General features: G+C 43.2%; 1 protein-coding gene across 2 annotated transcripts in view, besides 2 other annotated features; it reads left to right on the forward strand.

Annotated features, from left to right (window-relative positions):
- MKLN1 (muskelin 1) overlaps positions 1–15,842 on the forward strand; it is a 386,539-nt gene that overhangs the window by 11,802 nt on the left and 358,895 nt on the right. The window lies entirely within an intron of this gene.
- Positions 2,282–2,441: an enhancer, noted in NCBI's record as "active region_26669". NCBI's record gives its function as "activates an Ori minimal core promoter by ATAC-STARR-seq in GM12878 lymphoblastoid cells {active_cell/tissue: GM12878}" and the evidence as "EXISTENCE:reporter gene assay evidence [ECO:0000049][PMID:35858748]".
- Positions 2,582–2,661: a silencer, noted in NCBI's record as "silent region_18660". NCBI's record gives its function as "represses an Ori minimal core promoter by ATAC-STARR-seq in GM12878 lymphoblastoid cells {active_cell/tissue: GM12878}" and the evidence as "EXISTENCE:reporter gene assay evidence [ECO:0000049][PMID:35858748]".

Below are 15,842 nucleotides of genomic sequence, written 5' to 3' on the forward strand. Positions count from 1 at the left end.
TCATTTAAGACTGAAAAGAAGAGAAAGAGCTGGCACTGGAGACTGAGAATCAGAAACCAGGAGACTACGGGGCCAAGGAAACCAAGAGAAGAATCTGTTAAGGAGGATCAGCTCTTTGTTAAACACTGCCAAAAGGTCAAGAAAGATTATTTTAATTTGTTTCTCTCGTAAGCGTTAAGCTCCTTGAGAGTTAGTATTATTTTATTATTTATTTTTGTTTCCCTGGGGCTTGCCCTGTGACCCACACATAATAAATGATCAGTAAACTTTTGTTAGATTGAAGAAAGAGAGAAAGATGCATGGCAAGAAAGGCAGACATGCAGAAAGACAGTAGAATTTATGCTTGGGTCTCAAAAAATAAATAAGTAAAACAGATTCCCTTGAAGTTGACTGCAAACCCAGCTTGATCTTAGGAAATGTAAGGAGGTTCTTTCTGCTCCCTGTGTTTTACTCTTGAGCTAACACATTGATGGGGCTCCCACAGAACCATATTGTTGCCATGTAAGTACCTTCAGAAAACATTTTGAGAAGTGATATTCACCTGTGTCTGGTCAATCTGAGTCATTTTTATCTTTATTTAGGTCCTAGGTGATGACGAAAAGGGCAATTTGCTTTTCCTCGTCTATGACTCCACCACATCACCCTGAATGAGTTGATGGAAACGGGGGCATCCATTTCTGTGCCACTACAGTTCTGTAATACACTGTAATCACTCATAACGCTGCCCAGCCCCAGTTTCCCATGAGAGAGAAAGGTGACTACTGGCAGGAAGAGACGTCTAACCTCTTAGAGAAACCACCAGCTTCTTAGTCTGTTATTGTTTCTGCATTAAAGTGTTGCTGCGGGCCGGGTGCGGTGGCTCATGCCTGTAATCCCAGTACTTTGAGAGGCCGAGGCGGGCGGATCACGAGGTCGGGAGATGGAGACCATCCTGGCTAACACGGTGAAACCCCATCTCTACTAAAAATACAAAAAAAATTAGCCGGGTGTGGTGGCCCGCGCCTGTAGTCCCAGCTACTCGGGAGGCTGAGGCAGGAGAACGGCGTGAACCCGGGAGGCGGAGCTTGCAGTGAGCCGAGATAGCGCCACTGCAGTCCGGCCTGGGCGAAACAGCGAGACTCCGTCTCAAAAAAAAAAAAAAAAAAAAAAAAAAAGTGTTGCTGCTATCAGGGCCGCTGTACAGAATATCAAAGAAGGACATGTTTGACTCTGTTCTAAGAACGTGGAGCTCTTCTACATAATAAAAGAGAGTGTCCTTGAACTGGAAATTTTAGGAAATACAGTAATAGATGTAGTTGAAACAATATTTAAAATGTTATGCCATCCTGTATCATTTAGTTATACCAAAGATCAGCAAACTTTTTCCATTTCTATAAAGGGCCAGAAAGGAAATAATCTAGGCCTTCCTGGCCCTACAGTCTGTCTCAGCTACTCAATTCTGCCATTGTAGTGCAAAGCAGCCACAGACAAAATTTAAATGAATGAACCTGGCCATATTCCAATAAAATGAATTTGAATTTCAAATAATTTTTATGTGTCATAAAATATCATTCTTCTTTTCACATTTTCCAATCATTTAAAAATGTGATGGCCTGGGAAATAGCAAGACCTTGTCTCTACAAAGTACAAATAAAAATAGCTGGGTGTGGTGGCCTGTGACGAGGCAGGTGGATCACAAGGTCAGAAGTTCAAGACCAACCTGGCCAACATGGTGAAACCCTGTCTCTAGTAAAAATACAAAAATTAGCCAGGCATGGTGGCAGGCACCTGTAATCCCAGCTACTTGGGAGGCTGAGGCAGGAGAATTGCTTGAACCCAGAAGGCAGAGGTTGCAGTGAGCCGAGATTGTGCCACTGCACTCCAGCCTGGGCAACAGAGCAAGACTCTGTCTCAAAAAAAAAAAAAAATCTACTTCTTACATAGTACAGTACTGGGTATTATGGAGTTGAAGATAAAAGGATAGATAATTCATAAGTAGGTAGGTAGGTAGACTGACAGACAAAAGATCTAGTGACTGATAAGTTCTGTGAGAATTGTTCAGGTGTATCACAGTATCAATGTATAAATGCAGTCTTTTAAAGCAACAATAGGCAGTCAGACAAAACTAAGTTTAAATCTGAGCTCTTTTGCATCCCAGCTGCATGACCTTGGGGTGATTACATACACCATATAAGCTTCAGTTTCCTCTTTTTGAAATGAGGATAATAACACCTACCTCTCAAGGAGGTTGTGAGAATTAAATAAGATCATGTATGTAAATCAGCAGGTGTAGTACCTGGGAAATGGTAGACAATGAGTAAATGGTAGCTGTTGTTGTAGTATTACAGCAATATGAAGGTAGGTAACTTATTCAAAAGAAGCACACAACCAAAGGCAAAGCAGAGTAAGCTTGTAAGTCAAGAGGTCACAGACACATATAGAAACCCGCAAACCTGGGGGCTGAACACCTGGCCGAGAACATTTGGCTGAAAATAAAAGCAGAAGTGACATTGTCACAGGAGCATACAATAAGGCACCTGGCCAGTTGTCTTGCTTTTGTCTTCTCTAGCAACCAGCTGCTGGGTTGTCTAAGGAGCCCTACTTATGGGTCCAACCCCCAGCCTCCCCAGTACTTAAACGCTGGCTCAGACTGGAGAAAGTCACCATTAGTATCGGCCCCACCATTGTGCTTCCTTTCAGTTAGGTCAGCCATGGGGCCTCAGACATCTGTAGCTCCCTCCTATTGTGCCTCCCCACCCCTCTGCCCAATATGGGTTTCCACCTTGCCCTCAACACCTCAGTCTCTGGTCCTCCTGCCTTGTATCCCAGTCTCCCTTTGGATGTGGGTCCCTTGTCTTGAACCCCAGCCTACTTTACCATGATCCTGATGTCTTCTTTAGCTTAGTTCTGACCAGTCATCTTTGCAGAGGGCTGTATTCTGCTGCCTACACCCCTGCTGTGCTCTCCTCAAACCATGGGACATATGCGCCTTCCCCTTTATAGATAACCCATTGCTAGGGTAAGGCTAAACTGCCTGGTATTAACAGCTTCCTGAACTTTATGTGATTAAGAGACACAAGGTTTTGCAGAGGCCAGCTGCCCAGATCCAAGCTGGTTTCTGTATTCATAGCCCGTGCTCTAGGGAGCATCCCCCAACCCTGGTCTTGGCTCATACCCTCTCTCCACTGGCTGTATGCAGTCAACTACTCCTAGCATGCCTTGTGATCCTGTTATGGCAACATCAGTAATGCTTTCCCAATACAAATGACAAAATTATTGGCACAGGGACACGATATAGGGGTAATGGAGAACTTCAGCTTATCTGATATCTACTGACAGTCTCATTCTGCTGAAAAGTGATCGTCAAATAAAGTTGGCATGACTTAAATTTAAACTAATTGCTTACTGAAGAAGTACTATTCTGTGCTTAATTCTAACCAGCTAAGAAAAATATGTTGGCAAAGTAGAAGTGACAAACAACTTAAAATAAGTGACCAGGGCAGCTTTGAATTTGTAATAGCCAAAGAAGGCAATTCTGCACCTGCTAACCTGACATGAACGAGAGGAGCAAGTTAAGAGAAAATATGGACACAAGACTCCCTCTGGCCAGGAACTAGGAAATAAAGGGCAAGAGGAGTCATATGATTGGAAGTGTACATTTTTACAAAATCAGTGGTTTAAATGAAGAAAAGACGAGCATCCAAAAAAAGATCAGGCTAGGCACTGTGGCTCACACCTGTAATCCCAACACTTTGAGAAGCCCAGGCAGGAAGATTCCTTGAGGTCAGGAGTTCGAGACCAGCCTGGGCAACAAAGTGAGACTTCTGTCTCTGCAAAAAATTAAAAACAGCCTGGCACGGTGGCTCACGCCTGTAATCCCAGCCCTTTGGGAGGCTGAGGCAGGAGAATCACGAGGTCAGGAGATCGAGACCATCCTGGCTAACACAGTGAAACCCCGTCTCTGTTAAAAATACAAAAAAAATTAGCCGGGCGTGGTGGTGGCCACCTGTAGTCCCAGCTACTCGGGAGGCTGAGGCAGGAGAATGGCGTGAACCCAGGAGGCAGAGCTTGCAGTGAGCCGAGATCACGCCACTGCACTCCAGCCTGGGCGACAGAGCGAGACTCCGTCTCAAAAAAAAAAAAAGATAAATATAAATAAATAAATAAATAAATAAATTAATTAATTAATAAATAAAAATCCAGAAGAAAAAGATTAAAAAGATCAATCTGGTTGTTCTGGAAGTGTTCAATTAAGCTTGTACGTTTGAAGGACATGTACAAAAGGCAGGAGAAGGGGTATATAACGAGGCTTCCTTCAAAAAGGAGGGCTCAGATCCGTGAGACCCATGAGAATAATGCCAGAAGGGCTAATGACCAGAGACAGCTGAGGTCTGGGAAAAGTATTGAAGACAATGAATTATGAACTTTTATTTTTGCTTATGTTTATAGTAAAGAATAATAAAGAAGGAAGGATAGTACCATTGAATGGGGCAGACTGTCATATGTGAGTAGTTAAGTGAAAAATAGAGTCATTTAACTATAGCATGTCCTAGATTCTAAGGTACAGATATCCCCCCATGTTTTTAATATTTCTAAAATGAGAATGTAGGTACATTTAACACGGCGGTGTTTTTTGGGAGGGCTCTCAAAACAGCCATTAAATGGTGGTGCATCCTACCATATATATTTTTTTTTCCTGATGGAGTTTCACTCTTGTCACCCAGGCTGGAGTGCAGTGGTGCGATCTTGGCTCACTGCAACCTCTGCCTCCCGGGTTCAAGCAATTCTCCTGCCTCAGCCTCCCAAGTAGCTGGAGTTACAGGTGCGTGCCACTGTGCCTGGCTAAATTTTGCATTTTTAGTAGAGATGGGGTTTCACCCTGTTGGCCAGGCTGGTCTTGAACTCCTGACCTCAGGTGATCCTCCTGCCTTGGCCTCCCAAAGTGCTGGGATTACAGGCATGAGCCATCGCATCCGGCCCATATGTTGATCTTAGAATAGAAGAAATATGGCCGGGTGTGGTGGCTTACGCCTGTAATCTCAGCACTTTGGGAGGCTGAGGTGGGCAGTTCACCTAAGGTTGGTAGTTTGAGACCAGCCTGACCAACATGGAAAAACTCCGTCTCTACTAAAAATACAAAATTAGCCATGTGTGGTGGTGCATGCCTGTAATCCCAGCTACTCGGGAGGCTGAGGCAGGAGAATTGCTTGAGCCTGGGAGGCGGAGGCTGCGGTGAGCCGAGATCATGCCATTGCACTCTAACCTGGGTGACAAGAGCAAAACTCCATCTCAAAAAAAAAAAAAAAAAGAAAGAAAAGAATAGAAGAAAATGGAATTGTTTTTCACTTAGTTCTGCTGGTATCAACCACACTCAGCAGATGAAGGGTCTACTTGGGATCTTGGAAGTGGCAGTGTAGCCAGTGACCACTAACAGGTGGGAAAGAGTCAGAAAGGAGTTTGGAGGCCACACGCAGAGGCATATTATCTCATGGAGCACACAGAGGAGAGTGGGCGAGTACGACTGAAGAACAGGAGTGCAGCAAATATTAGAGACAGGACAAGAAGGAAAAACTGATCAAAACCTCTGAGAAGGGGTAGAGAGAGCCCATTGCCGGCCCACAGAAGCCACGTCACTGAACATGTGTGTCACAGAAGAGGATGGAATGGAGACAGGGGATATGTGTTGAAAAGATCAGGCATGGCCAAGATGCAAGAAGGAATAAAAGAACTGCTGTGAAGATACTCAGAACAGTGTCTAACATGCAGTCAGATGGGAATGGCTTGCCCTGGGCAGGACATTTTGAACTGTGCCTGGAGCATAGTATGTGTCTACCACTGTGTCCTACCTCTTCTGAATCAATTAAATGATTGACTTAAAGCCCTGGTGCTCCAGGTTCCAACTATGTGGCTTCGATTAACCACATAGAAGTCTCCTCTGGGAAGGTATTTAGATCAGGATGTGGGTTTGGGATCACAGATCAGGAAAAGACATTGTGAACTGGTATAAGCAAGATGCTGAGTATATTTGTTTTTGTTTGCTTATTTAAAAAATGACAAGGAATGGTCCGAATAAGTAACCAGGGAAAAAGGGAGCCAAAAGCCAGAAACATTACCAGAATAAATTCAGGGGAGAGTTGGAGCTGTGGTCTGTTTCTACTAGGTCTGTGGAACTCATGTTGAAGAAGGAATTTAGAAAACCTATAGATCAGTTGGCTGTGGAGGAAATTGTTCCAACCATATATGAGCAGGCCCCTAGACACTGTGATGTGTCCAAGTGGTCCATATGCAGCTTGAACATAAAGAGAAGGGACCGAAGTATCGCCTCTGATTCAAAAAAAAAAAAAAAACAACAAACAAAAAATGGAAAAACATGTGGCCAGGAAGAATGGAATGCATTTCAGATGGATTAAAGAATTAAATGTGAAAAGTGACCCATATAATAGGGGTGATATGTGCTGAAAAGCTGAAAGTAGTGTAAGCATTTTTTGACCTTGGAGTGGTAAAGGCCTTCATGAGCAAAAAAGCAATGGTTTATGGTTTATAAAAGAAAAGCATTGTACTTGAGAGGCTGAAGCAGGAGAATCACTTGAGTCCAGGAGTTTGAATCCAGCCTGGGCAACATAGCAAGACTTTGTCTCTAAAAAAGAAGAAGAAAGAAAGGAAAACATTGATATATTTCATTGCTTAGAACTTTTAGCTTATGTAGATAAGGCAGTAGCACAAACAAAATTAAAAGATACATGAGAAATTCTAGATTTTTTTTCATAGGGTCTTGTTCTGTTGCCTAGGCTGGAATGCAGTTGCACATTCATAGCTCGCTGTAACCTTGAACTCCTGGGCTCAAGCAATCCTTCCAGGTAGCTAGGACAACAGGTGTGTGCCACCATGTCTGGATAATATTTTTTTTTAGAGATGGGGCGTCCCTATGTTGCCCAGCCTGGTCTCGAACTCCTGGACTCAGGTGATCCTTCCCCTTCAGCCTCCGGAGTAGCTAGGACCACACGTGTGTGCCACCTCACCTATTTTTTTTTTTTTTTTTTTTTTGGTAGAGACAGGATCTTGCTCTGTTGCCCAAGCTAGAGATTCTAGGACTTTATGTATATGACAAGCGGTAGTGTCTTTAACATGCAAACAACTCATACACTTACAAGAAAAAGACAAGATCTCAAAAGAAGAACGGGTAAAGAACAACAAAAGGCAAAAAGGAAAAAAAGGAATTCAACTGGTCAATGAAAATGAAAATGGTCCAGTTTCATTATTAATTAATGAAAATGCAAATCAAAGTAAAACCCAGATGTCTTTGTGCCTAGCAAATTGTAAGAACTTTAAAATGATATCTTACATGGATAAAGAGTCAGGGAAATAAGCACTCTCATACCACATTGGGAATATAAATTGGTATAAACCTTCTGAGAGCAATTTGGTATTGTGTGTTAAAAACCTTAACATACACAAACCACTTATTTAACACAGCAATTTCACCTTTAAGACTTCATCCTAAGAAAATAACTACAGGTACTAAGAAAATTTAATGTAGAAGAATATTTAGTGTAGCATTCTTTATAATATTAAATACTTAGAGATAACAAATGTCCAAAAAGAATTATTGCATAAATTTTGTGTATTCCCATGATGAAATCTATGTATCCAATAAAAAGCAGGTTATGGAAGATATCATGACATCAGAAAAAGTTGGTCATTTATTATTTATTATTTAAAGACAGGGTCTCTCTCTGTCACCCAGGCTGGAGTGCAGTGGCCTGATCATAGCTCACTGCAGCCTTGACCTCCTGGGCTCAAGTGATCCTCCTGACTCAGCCTCTGAATTAGCTGGGACTACAAGAATGTGCCACCATACCCTGTGAATTTTTTAAAACTTTTTTTAGAGACGAGGTCTTGCTATGTTGTCCAGATTGGTCTTGAACTCCCAGCCTCAAGGGATCATCCTGCCTCGGCCTCCCAAAGTGCTGAGATTACAGGTGTGAGCCACCATGCCCAGCTAGGTCATTTATTTTTAAGTATATTTTCTCAGAAAAAAAGAAAGACTGACCACAGAAAAATATTAACAGTGGCAATATTGTGGTAGTGGATTTATAATTGATTTTATTTTATGGGTGTGATTTCTATAGTTAAGTTCACTTCGATAGACATGTGTGTTCTTATAGTCTGGATAAAGAAGAAATTTAAGATGAAATGGGAGCCAAGGTGAATGATGAAAGGATACATTTAAATTAGACAAAATTTAAATTTAGATGAGATTCAAATTTCAATGAGCTTCAAATCTTCTGATCCATACAAACTGTATCTAGGGATACAAAAGGAACTTCCAGGTATGATTATAGACATGCTATGAGGAATTGCTGAGGATAGAACAAATACCATATGCCTAGGGTTGGGCAACTATGCCAATTTTTAAAAGGGAAAATGGTGGATTCCAGAACCTACAGCCTGATAAGCTTAGTTTGGTTAGGGAAAGAAAGTTGGTATCAACGAGAGCCAACCTGGGTTCACTTAAGTACTTCCAAACCACTCTCATTTCCTTATCTACCATGTGCTTTAAGTCACGTAATCCTCATGCCAGACCTCTAAGGTAGATATTACTACCATTACCCCCATTTCACAGAAGTGGAGCCTGAGGTCATAAATGTCAAGTGATTTGCCCAAGATCCTCTAGCTGGTTTAGTTTTTTCTGTCGATAATGTTAATACGTAAGAAGATGACAGACATATTTGTCATACCTGTCATTGGACACAGGTTTTCAAGGGATGCTGGTGAATAATATAATGGACCATGGAACAGTATTATTCAGTATTATTAGTAGATGAAATGTTTTATTATTACATTTATTACTAATGTATTATTAGTAGATAAAATGATTACACACACAAATGTGGATTGGATGAGATGGCTCATGCCTAAAATCCAAGCACTTTGAGATAGACTGAGGCAAGTGGATTGCTTGAGTCCAGGAGTCCTAAGACCAGCCTGGACAACATAGTAAGACCTGTCACTACAAACAATACAAAAATTAGCTGGGTATGGTGGCATGCAAGTAGCCTCCCAGCTACTTGGGAGGCTGAGGTGGGAGGATTGCTTGATTCCAGGAAGTTGAAGCTGCAGTGAGCTATAATCATGCCATTGCACTCCAGCCTGGGCAACAGAGGGAGACCCTGTCTCAAAAAAAAAAAAAAAAAAAAAAGGTTGGGTGTGGTGGCTCACACCTGTAATCTCAGGACTTTGGGAAGCCAAGGTGGGAGGATCGCTTGAGCTCAAGAGTTTGAAACCAGTCTGGGAAATATAGTGAGACCTCACCTCTACTTAAATAAATAAATAAATAAATAAATAAATAAAATTTAGCTGAGCCTGGTGGTGTGCACCTGTATTGCCAGCTACTCGGGAGGCTGAGGAGGGAGTATCACTTGAGCCCAGGAGTTCAAGGCTGCAGTGAGCTATGATCATGCAACTGCATCCAGCCTGGGCGATAAAGCAAGACTGTGTCTCAAATTAAAAAGTGCAGATTAATAGGACATTGCTTACCTGGAGTTTTCTAAGCGGTAATAATAACACCACTTCCCAAGTACTTATGTGCAAGGTTCTATGCAAAAACGCTTTTCATTCATCATCTCAGTTAATCTTCCCCAGCAGCTGGAGAAACAGGTATTGTTATCCCCATTTTACAGATGAGCAAACCAAGGCTCAGGATGGTTTATGAACTTGCTTGTAATCACCAGATAGCTAGTGATTAGAAGAGCTCAGATTCGGTCACAGAAAGTCTGGTTTCAGAAGCCATATGCTTAACTATTATACTAAAGTATCTTCTTTTGGTTATTGGCTCCTGTTATGCTCAAATTTTTTTATTAAAAGAAAGATGTATTAATCTTGAGGAATGACTTAAAAGGCATACTTCTGCTAAGGAATCAAAGTTGAGAGAATCAAAGAAAAGGAAGGCAAGAAAACCAACATTTATTGAGAACTTACATCAGGTATTATACTGCCCTGGTTTCAGACTCAGGACCACTTCGCAGTGCAGGTAGTATTAGCCCTATTTTCACTGATAAGCAGGTTGAGACTCAGAGATCACATGACATGTTCTAGGTTACAGGGCTATGTAATAAAACCAGAATTCGAATACAGATCTGTCTGACTCCTAAACCTTTCCACTTTTTACTACTGGCTCATGAAAAGCCAATGTAAAAATACATAATAGTGGGAAAAAGTGTAAAATCTTGCAATTGGCTTTTAAAAGTCAATTGTGTAAATGTTAGATTTGGAAGACATAGTATATCAACATTTCAAGTGCAAAAGATCTCAAGATTTGAGTTGATCATAAAACACCATGAGTCAGCAGTGTGGCTGTGAGAACACTCGTACAATCTCAGGTGGCATTCACAGAAGCACTGTGTCCTGGAAAAGGGAAAGAATGTGCCTACTGGTTTCTAACTGCTTATACCAGATGGAGAGAATTGTGATTAATTCTGAGTGCCACATTTTAAAAGGGACTTTGACAGACTAGGGTATGGTTATCCAGAGGAGAGCAGCCAACTGGTAACAAAAGACACATATACATACATACATATATCCATACATAACGACTGGATTATTTCACAGAGGTGAAATGATTGGGAAAGCCCCAGAGGTGGCTGGAAACCATTCTCAGTTAGCTGGAGGGCTGTCGTATGGAAAAAAGTCTTCTTATACTTGTGTGGCTCCAGAGGACAAAGCTATGTTTGGAAGGAGGTAGATTTGGGCCAATAAATGAAAAACCAAAGGCCGGGCGCGGTGGCTCACACCTGTAATCCAGCACTTTGGGAGGCCGAGGCCGGTGGATCACAAGGTCAGGAGATCAAGACCGGCCTGGCCTGGCCAACATGGTGAAACCCCATCTCTACCAAAAATACAAAAATTAGCCGGGCGTGGTGGCAGCGCCTGTAATCCCAGTTACTCATGAGGCTGAGGCAGGAGAATCGCTTAAACCTGGGAGGCGGAGGTTGCAGTGGACCGAGATCAAGCCACTGCACTCCAGCCTGGGTGACAGAGTGAGACTCTGTCTCAAAAAAAAAAAAAAAAAAAAAAAAAGAAAGAAAGAAAGAAAGAAAGAAAGAAAGAAAAACCAGAGCATGACTGTGCCTTGCATATATTTTTAGGCCCTGAAGTACCAAGCCCGATGCTTTAGACATCACAGGCACTCAACAAATATATATTGAATGGAATTGATGTGTTGCTGTACAAAAGCCCAACCAGCTGTCTTGTGGGGTAGCAGGCTCACTAGAGATTTTGAGCAGAAGCTAGATGGCCACTTGTACTCAGGACTCCCATTCCATAAAATAATTCCTACTCCTTGCCCAATTCCACCTTCTTTCCAGCCTTACCTGCTTCCCTCCTGGCAACTTCAAAGACGAGTCTTCACTCAAGCCACTCCAGGCTGACTTCTTTTTTATTTTTTATTTTAATTTTAATTTTTTTTTTCTTTCTTTCTTTCTTTTTTTTTTTTTTTTTTTGAGATGGAGTCTCACTATGTCTCCCAGGCTGGAGTGCAGTGGCGTGATCTCGGCTTACTGCAACCTCCGCTCCCAGGTTCAAGCCATTCTCCTGCCTCAGCCTCCTGAGTAGCTGGGATTACAGGCACATGCCACCATGCCCGGCTACTTTTTGTATTTTTAGTAGAGATGGGGTTTCACCATGTTAGTCAGGATGGTCTCAATCTCCTGACCTCGTGATCCGCCCGCCTCGGCCTCCCAAAGTGCTGGGATTATAGGCGTGAGCCACCGCGCCCAGCCTCTATTTTTAATTTTTTTTATAGATGGGGTCTCACTATGTTGACCAGGCTAGTCTCAAACCCTGGGCTCCAGTGATCCTCTTGCCTCAGCCTTCCAAACTGCTGGGATTATAGGCATAAGCCACTACACCCGGCCCAGGTTGACTTCTTTTTTTTTTTTTTTAATTTGGTTTTTTTTTTTTTTTTTTTTTTTTTTGAGACGAAGTTTTGCTCTTGTCGCCCAGGCTGGAGCACAATGGTGCAATCTCGGCTCACTGCAACCTCTGCCTCCCAGGTTCAAGCGATTCTCCTGCCTCAGCCTCCCGAGCAGCTGGGATTACAGGCGCCTGCCACCAAGCCCGGCTAAGTTTTGTATTTTTAGTGGAGACGGGGTTTCACCATGTTGGCCAGTCTGGTCTTGAACTCCTGACCTCAGTTGATCCACCTGCCTCGGCCTCCCAAAGTGCTGGGATTACAGGCATGAGCCAACGCGCCCGGCCAGCTGACTTCTAATTCTCTAGAAACTGTGCTCATCAGGTCTTCTAATTACTAAGCCTTATCTTATACCTGGTCTGACCCCAGAGAAAGCTGTTGATCATTTTCTCTGGGAAGGTCTCATGTCTCTTTCCTTGCAGACCTCCCTCTGTCCCACTCTCATGCCCCATCTTTTCTCCTTTCCAGTCTATTGCCAGGGTCCTTCTCCACTGACAGCTGCCTCAGGCTTTTTTTCAGTGTTCTTCGCTTGGTCCTTTTCATTGTTTGTCTGCCCCCAAGATATCCTATTTATTACGAGGACTGAGCCACTGATGGGCCCGGACTCCTGAACCTATGCATTCAGTCCAGACCTCTCTCCTGATCTGCAGACCTGTCATTCATTTGCACTGGATATCCCACAATTACTGTGAGCTTCATATCCTGTTCAGCATCCCCTCTGCACTTGCTCTCCTTCCTGCCTTTAGCTTCGTCAGTGTCATTGCACTTCAACCTCGGCCCGTCTCTCCTACTCCCAAACCTCTATCTAATTGATAACTGTGTCTTCAGTGCTACTTTTAAATCCCCCTTGGACTTGTTACTACCCTTCACCCCACTGCTGCTATGGTGACTCAGACCTTAATCCCTTCTTTAGACTATTACAGTAGTCTTCTAATTGGCTTTGCTGGCTCAGTCTTCATCCTGCCACTAAAGTTTTTAATTTTTTAAAATATGAATGAGCACATCTTTCCACTCTTTAAGAAATGCTGATAGTTACTGTCTTCAGTATCAAGTCCAGATTCCCTAGCTGTAATCAAGGTTCCTCGCAATATAACCACAACATACCTTAGCATTGATTTCTAGCCCACATCAGACTTCTCTCTTTTCTTGGAACAGTTTTCCCTCTCCACACCTTTGTGCCTGTTTTCATCCTATTCCTCTTACAAAAAAGCCACTCTTCTCTCCTTGCCAACTCATCTCCTCCTTCAGTGGTTCTAGGAAAAGAATCCACTTCCTGTTTCTTGTTTTTTGTTTGTTTTGAGATAGCATCTTGCTCTGTCGCCCAGGCTGGAGTGCAGCAGAGCGATCTCGGCTCATTGCTACCTGCGTCTCCCAGGTTCAAGTGATTCTTCCGCCTCAGCCTCCCGAGTAGCTGGGACTACAGGCGCCCACCACCACGCCCGGCTAATTTTTGTATTTTTAGTAGAGACGGGGTTTCACCATGCTGGCCAGGCTGGTCTCAAACTCCTGACCTCAGGTGATCTGCCCTCCTCCTCCCAAAGTGCTGGGATTACAGGCATGAGCCACTGCGTCTGGCCTCTCTTCCACTTCCGCGTCAGGAGTTTAGGGACGCATCAGAGTGAGAAATATGGTATTTAAGGCAATGGACTGGATTGACAATTGCAGAGGGACAAGCCCAATGGGGCTGCCAATATTCAGACATTGGGAAGGGCCCAGCCAAAGAGACTGCGAGGGAACAATGAGGTAGGAGGCAACCTAGTGAGGTGTGATGGAAGATAAGGGTAGAAAGTGTTTTATCAGAAGGGGTGAACATTGTGCCAAGAGTCTGCTGAGAGGAGTAAGATGAAGACTGTGAATTTGGATTTGATGTCATGGAGGTCATTGCGAGCTTCATCGGTGTGTTTTCAGTGGAGTAATAGGGGCAAAAGGCTGACTGGATTGGCTTCAAGAGATAGGCAGAAATGATGAAGTAGATGCTTGTTGAACGGGTAAAAGTCGGATAAATGAAGAAATAATGTCTTCGAGAGGATCCCATGATAGATCATGAACCAAAATAGATAAATGAGTTATTCTGAGTCTCTGAAAAACTCCTGAGTAGAAACAATGATGTGATTTCAGGGTGCAAAGCTTTGCGTAAGTGACAAGGGAATTCAGGTGGGATTACTCAGGCAGTAGGGTGAGTCTAGGGAGGGCTGTTTATGAGTTCTGTTGTGCTTGCAATTTTATCTCCTCCTGGCCTCAGTTCATGAAGGCCTTCATGCAAGACTTCTCAGAGGGGGGCCTCAGGGACGAGCTGTCCCTGCAGGGACTTGGGTGTAGGATTTTGAGAGATTATTTTCAAACACCTCTTGCAGGCATGTGGGGTTCCTGAGAATAAGCCTTTCAGGCTGACTTCCGCCCTTTTTGGGGAGTGAGCAGCACCAAGTCTGCCTGGTCAGGAAGAGGTGAATGTGGAAAACCTGATCCATCCAACATAGTGTATTTGAAAATGCTGTACTTCAAAATGTTTCTCTATAAAAATGTTATATTGAAATAATAATGGAGATGGACCAAGTGGTCGCCTAGATTTGATGAATAAGCAGGCTGTTTATAGCAGTTCCCCACTGGAGTACAACAGTAATGAAGTATGAAGAATACAAACCTGGGTAGACCAGACCCAGACTTTGATTTTGTGTTGTTCCCTGTGTCATTTTCCTCAAATGGTCAAAGCTTCAAAAGGCACTTTGGTACCGATTCCATATAGAATGTGTTTTTACTTACATGACTGAGGACAATACATTTCCCTTCATAGAAGCATTTTTGGGGATGTCCAGGGCCCAGACTGTGAAACAGAACCAGCCATAAAGTAACTGAACAACTCCCGTTGCACCACATGTCCTGCCGTTCTCCAAATGCATTGTCTGCTCTTATTTGTTGGTGTCTTTGCCCACGCTGTTCCCTGGAACACCCAAATGCCCTTCGTCCTGGCATGCTTAGCTCTGGGAGGACCTTCTGCAGGAGGCCTTCCTCACCCACTCATACAAAGACAGAGCCCCAAACCACATTTGCGTGTAGTTCAATCGCCACACCTACCACAGTGAACTTCAGTGGTTTTCTCTTCTGGCTTTCCCATTGGACTGTGAGTTTCTTGAAGCCTGTGACTTTGTCTTAATTCTGGGGTTCCTAGGTTATTTTTTTGCATGCCACCACACCCAGCTACGGGGTCTCCCTGTGTTGCCCAGGCTGGTCTTGAACTCCTGGGCTTAAGTAATCCACCCACCTCGGCCTTCCAAAATGCAGGGGTTACAGGTGCGAGCCATCACACTTGGCCCTTGATCCTATTTCTATCCTGTGCATCTAGAATAGCGCCTGTACAGTTTGAGCACATTATCGTGTTTATTGAATAGTTGCATGAAGGCTGGAGAGTGTGGATGAATGAATATATAAAAAGATCAGAAAAATGTTACCCCCCAAATTGAAGCTAATAAAAGAAAAAGAGTGTCAATGACTTTACATATATGCAGAATTTGTACCTATAATGGTTTTTTCCACATCCGGTTGAGACAAGATTATTGCAACGTAATGTGTATGGAAAGGGGAGTGATCCATCCTGTGACTTGTACTGTGTGTGGCACAAGATTGTGGAATCATGCTGATGAACATCAGAGTTGGGTAGTAGGGATTGATTGGTTTAATTCTAGATTTGTGAGAGAGATGTGATCTGTGAACATGAACTTTTTTTGTTGTGTTTTGGTTTTGTTTTTGTTTTTTGAGATGGAGTCTTGCTCTGTTGCTGAGGCTAGAGTGCAATGGCGCAATCTCGGCTCACTGCAACCTCCACCTCCTGGGTTCATGCAATTCTCCTGCCTCAGCCTCCCAAGTAGCTGGGATTACGTGCATGCGCCACCATACCCGG

The sequence above is a fragment of the Homo sapiens genome, chromosome 7, assembly GCF_000001405.40.
Source record: "Homo sapiens chromosome 7, GRCh38.p14 Primary Assembly".
In the NCBI taxonomy this organism is placed as follows: domain Eukaryota; kingdom Metazoa; phylum Chordata; class Mammalia; order Primates; family Hominidae; genus Homo; species Homo sapiens.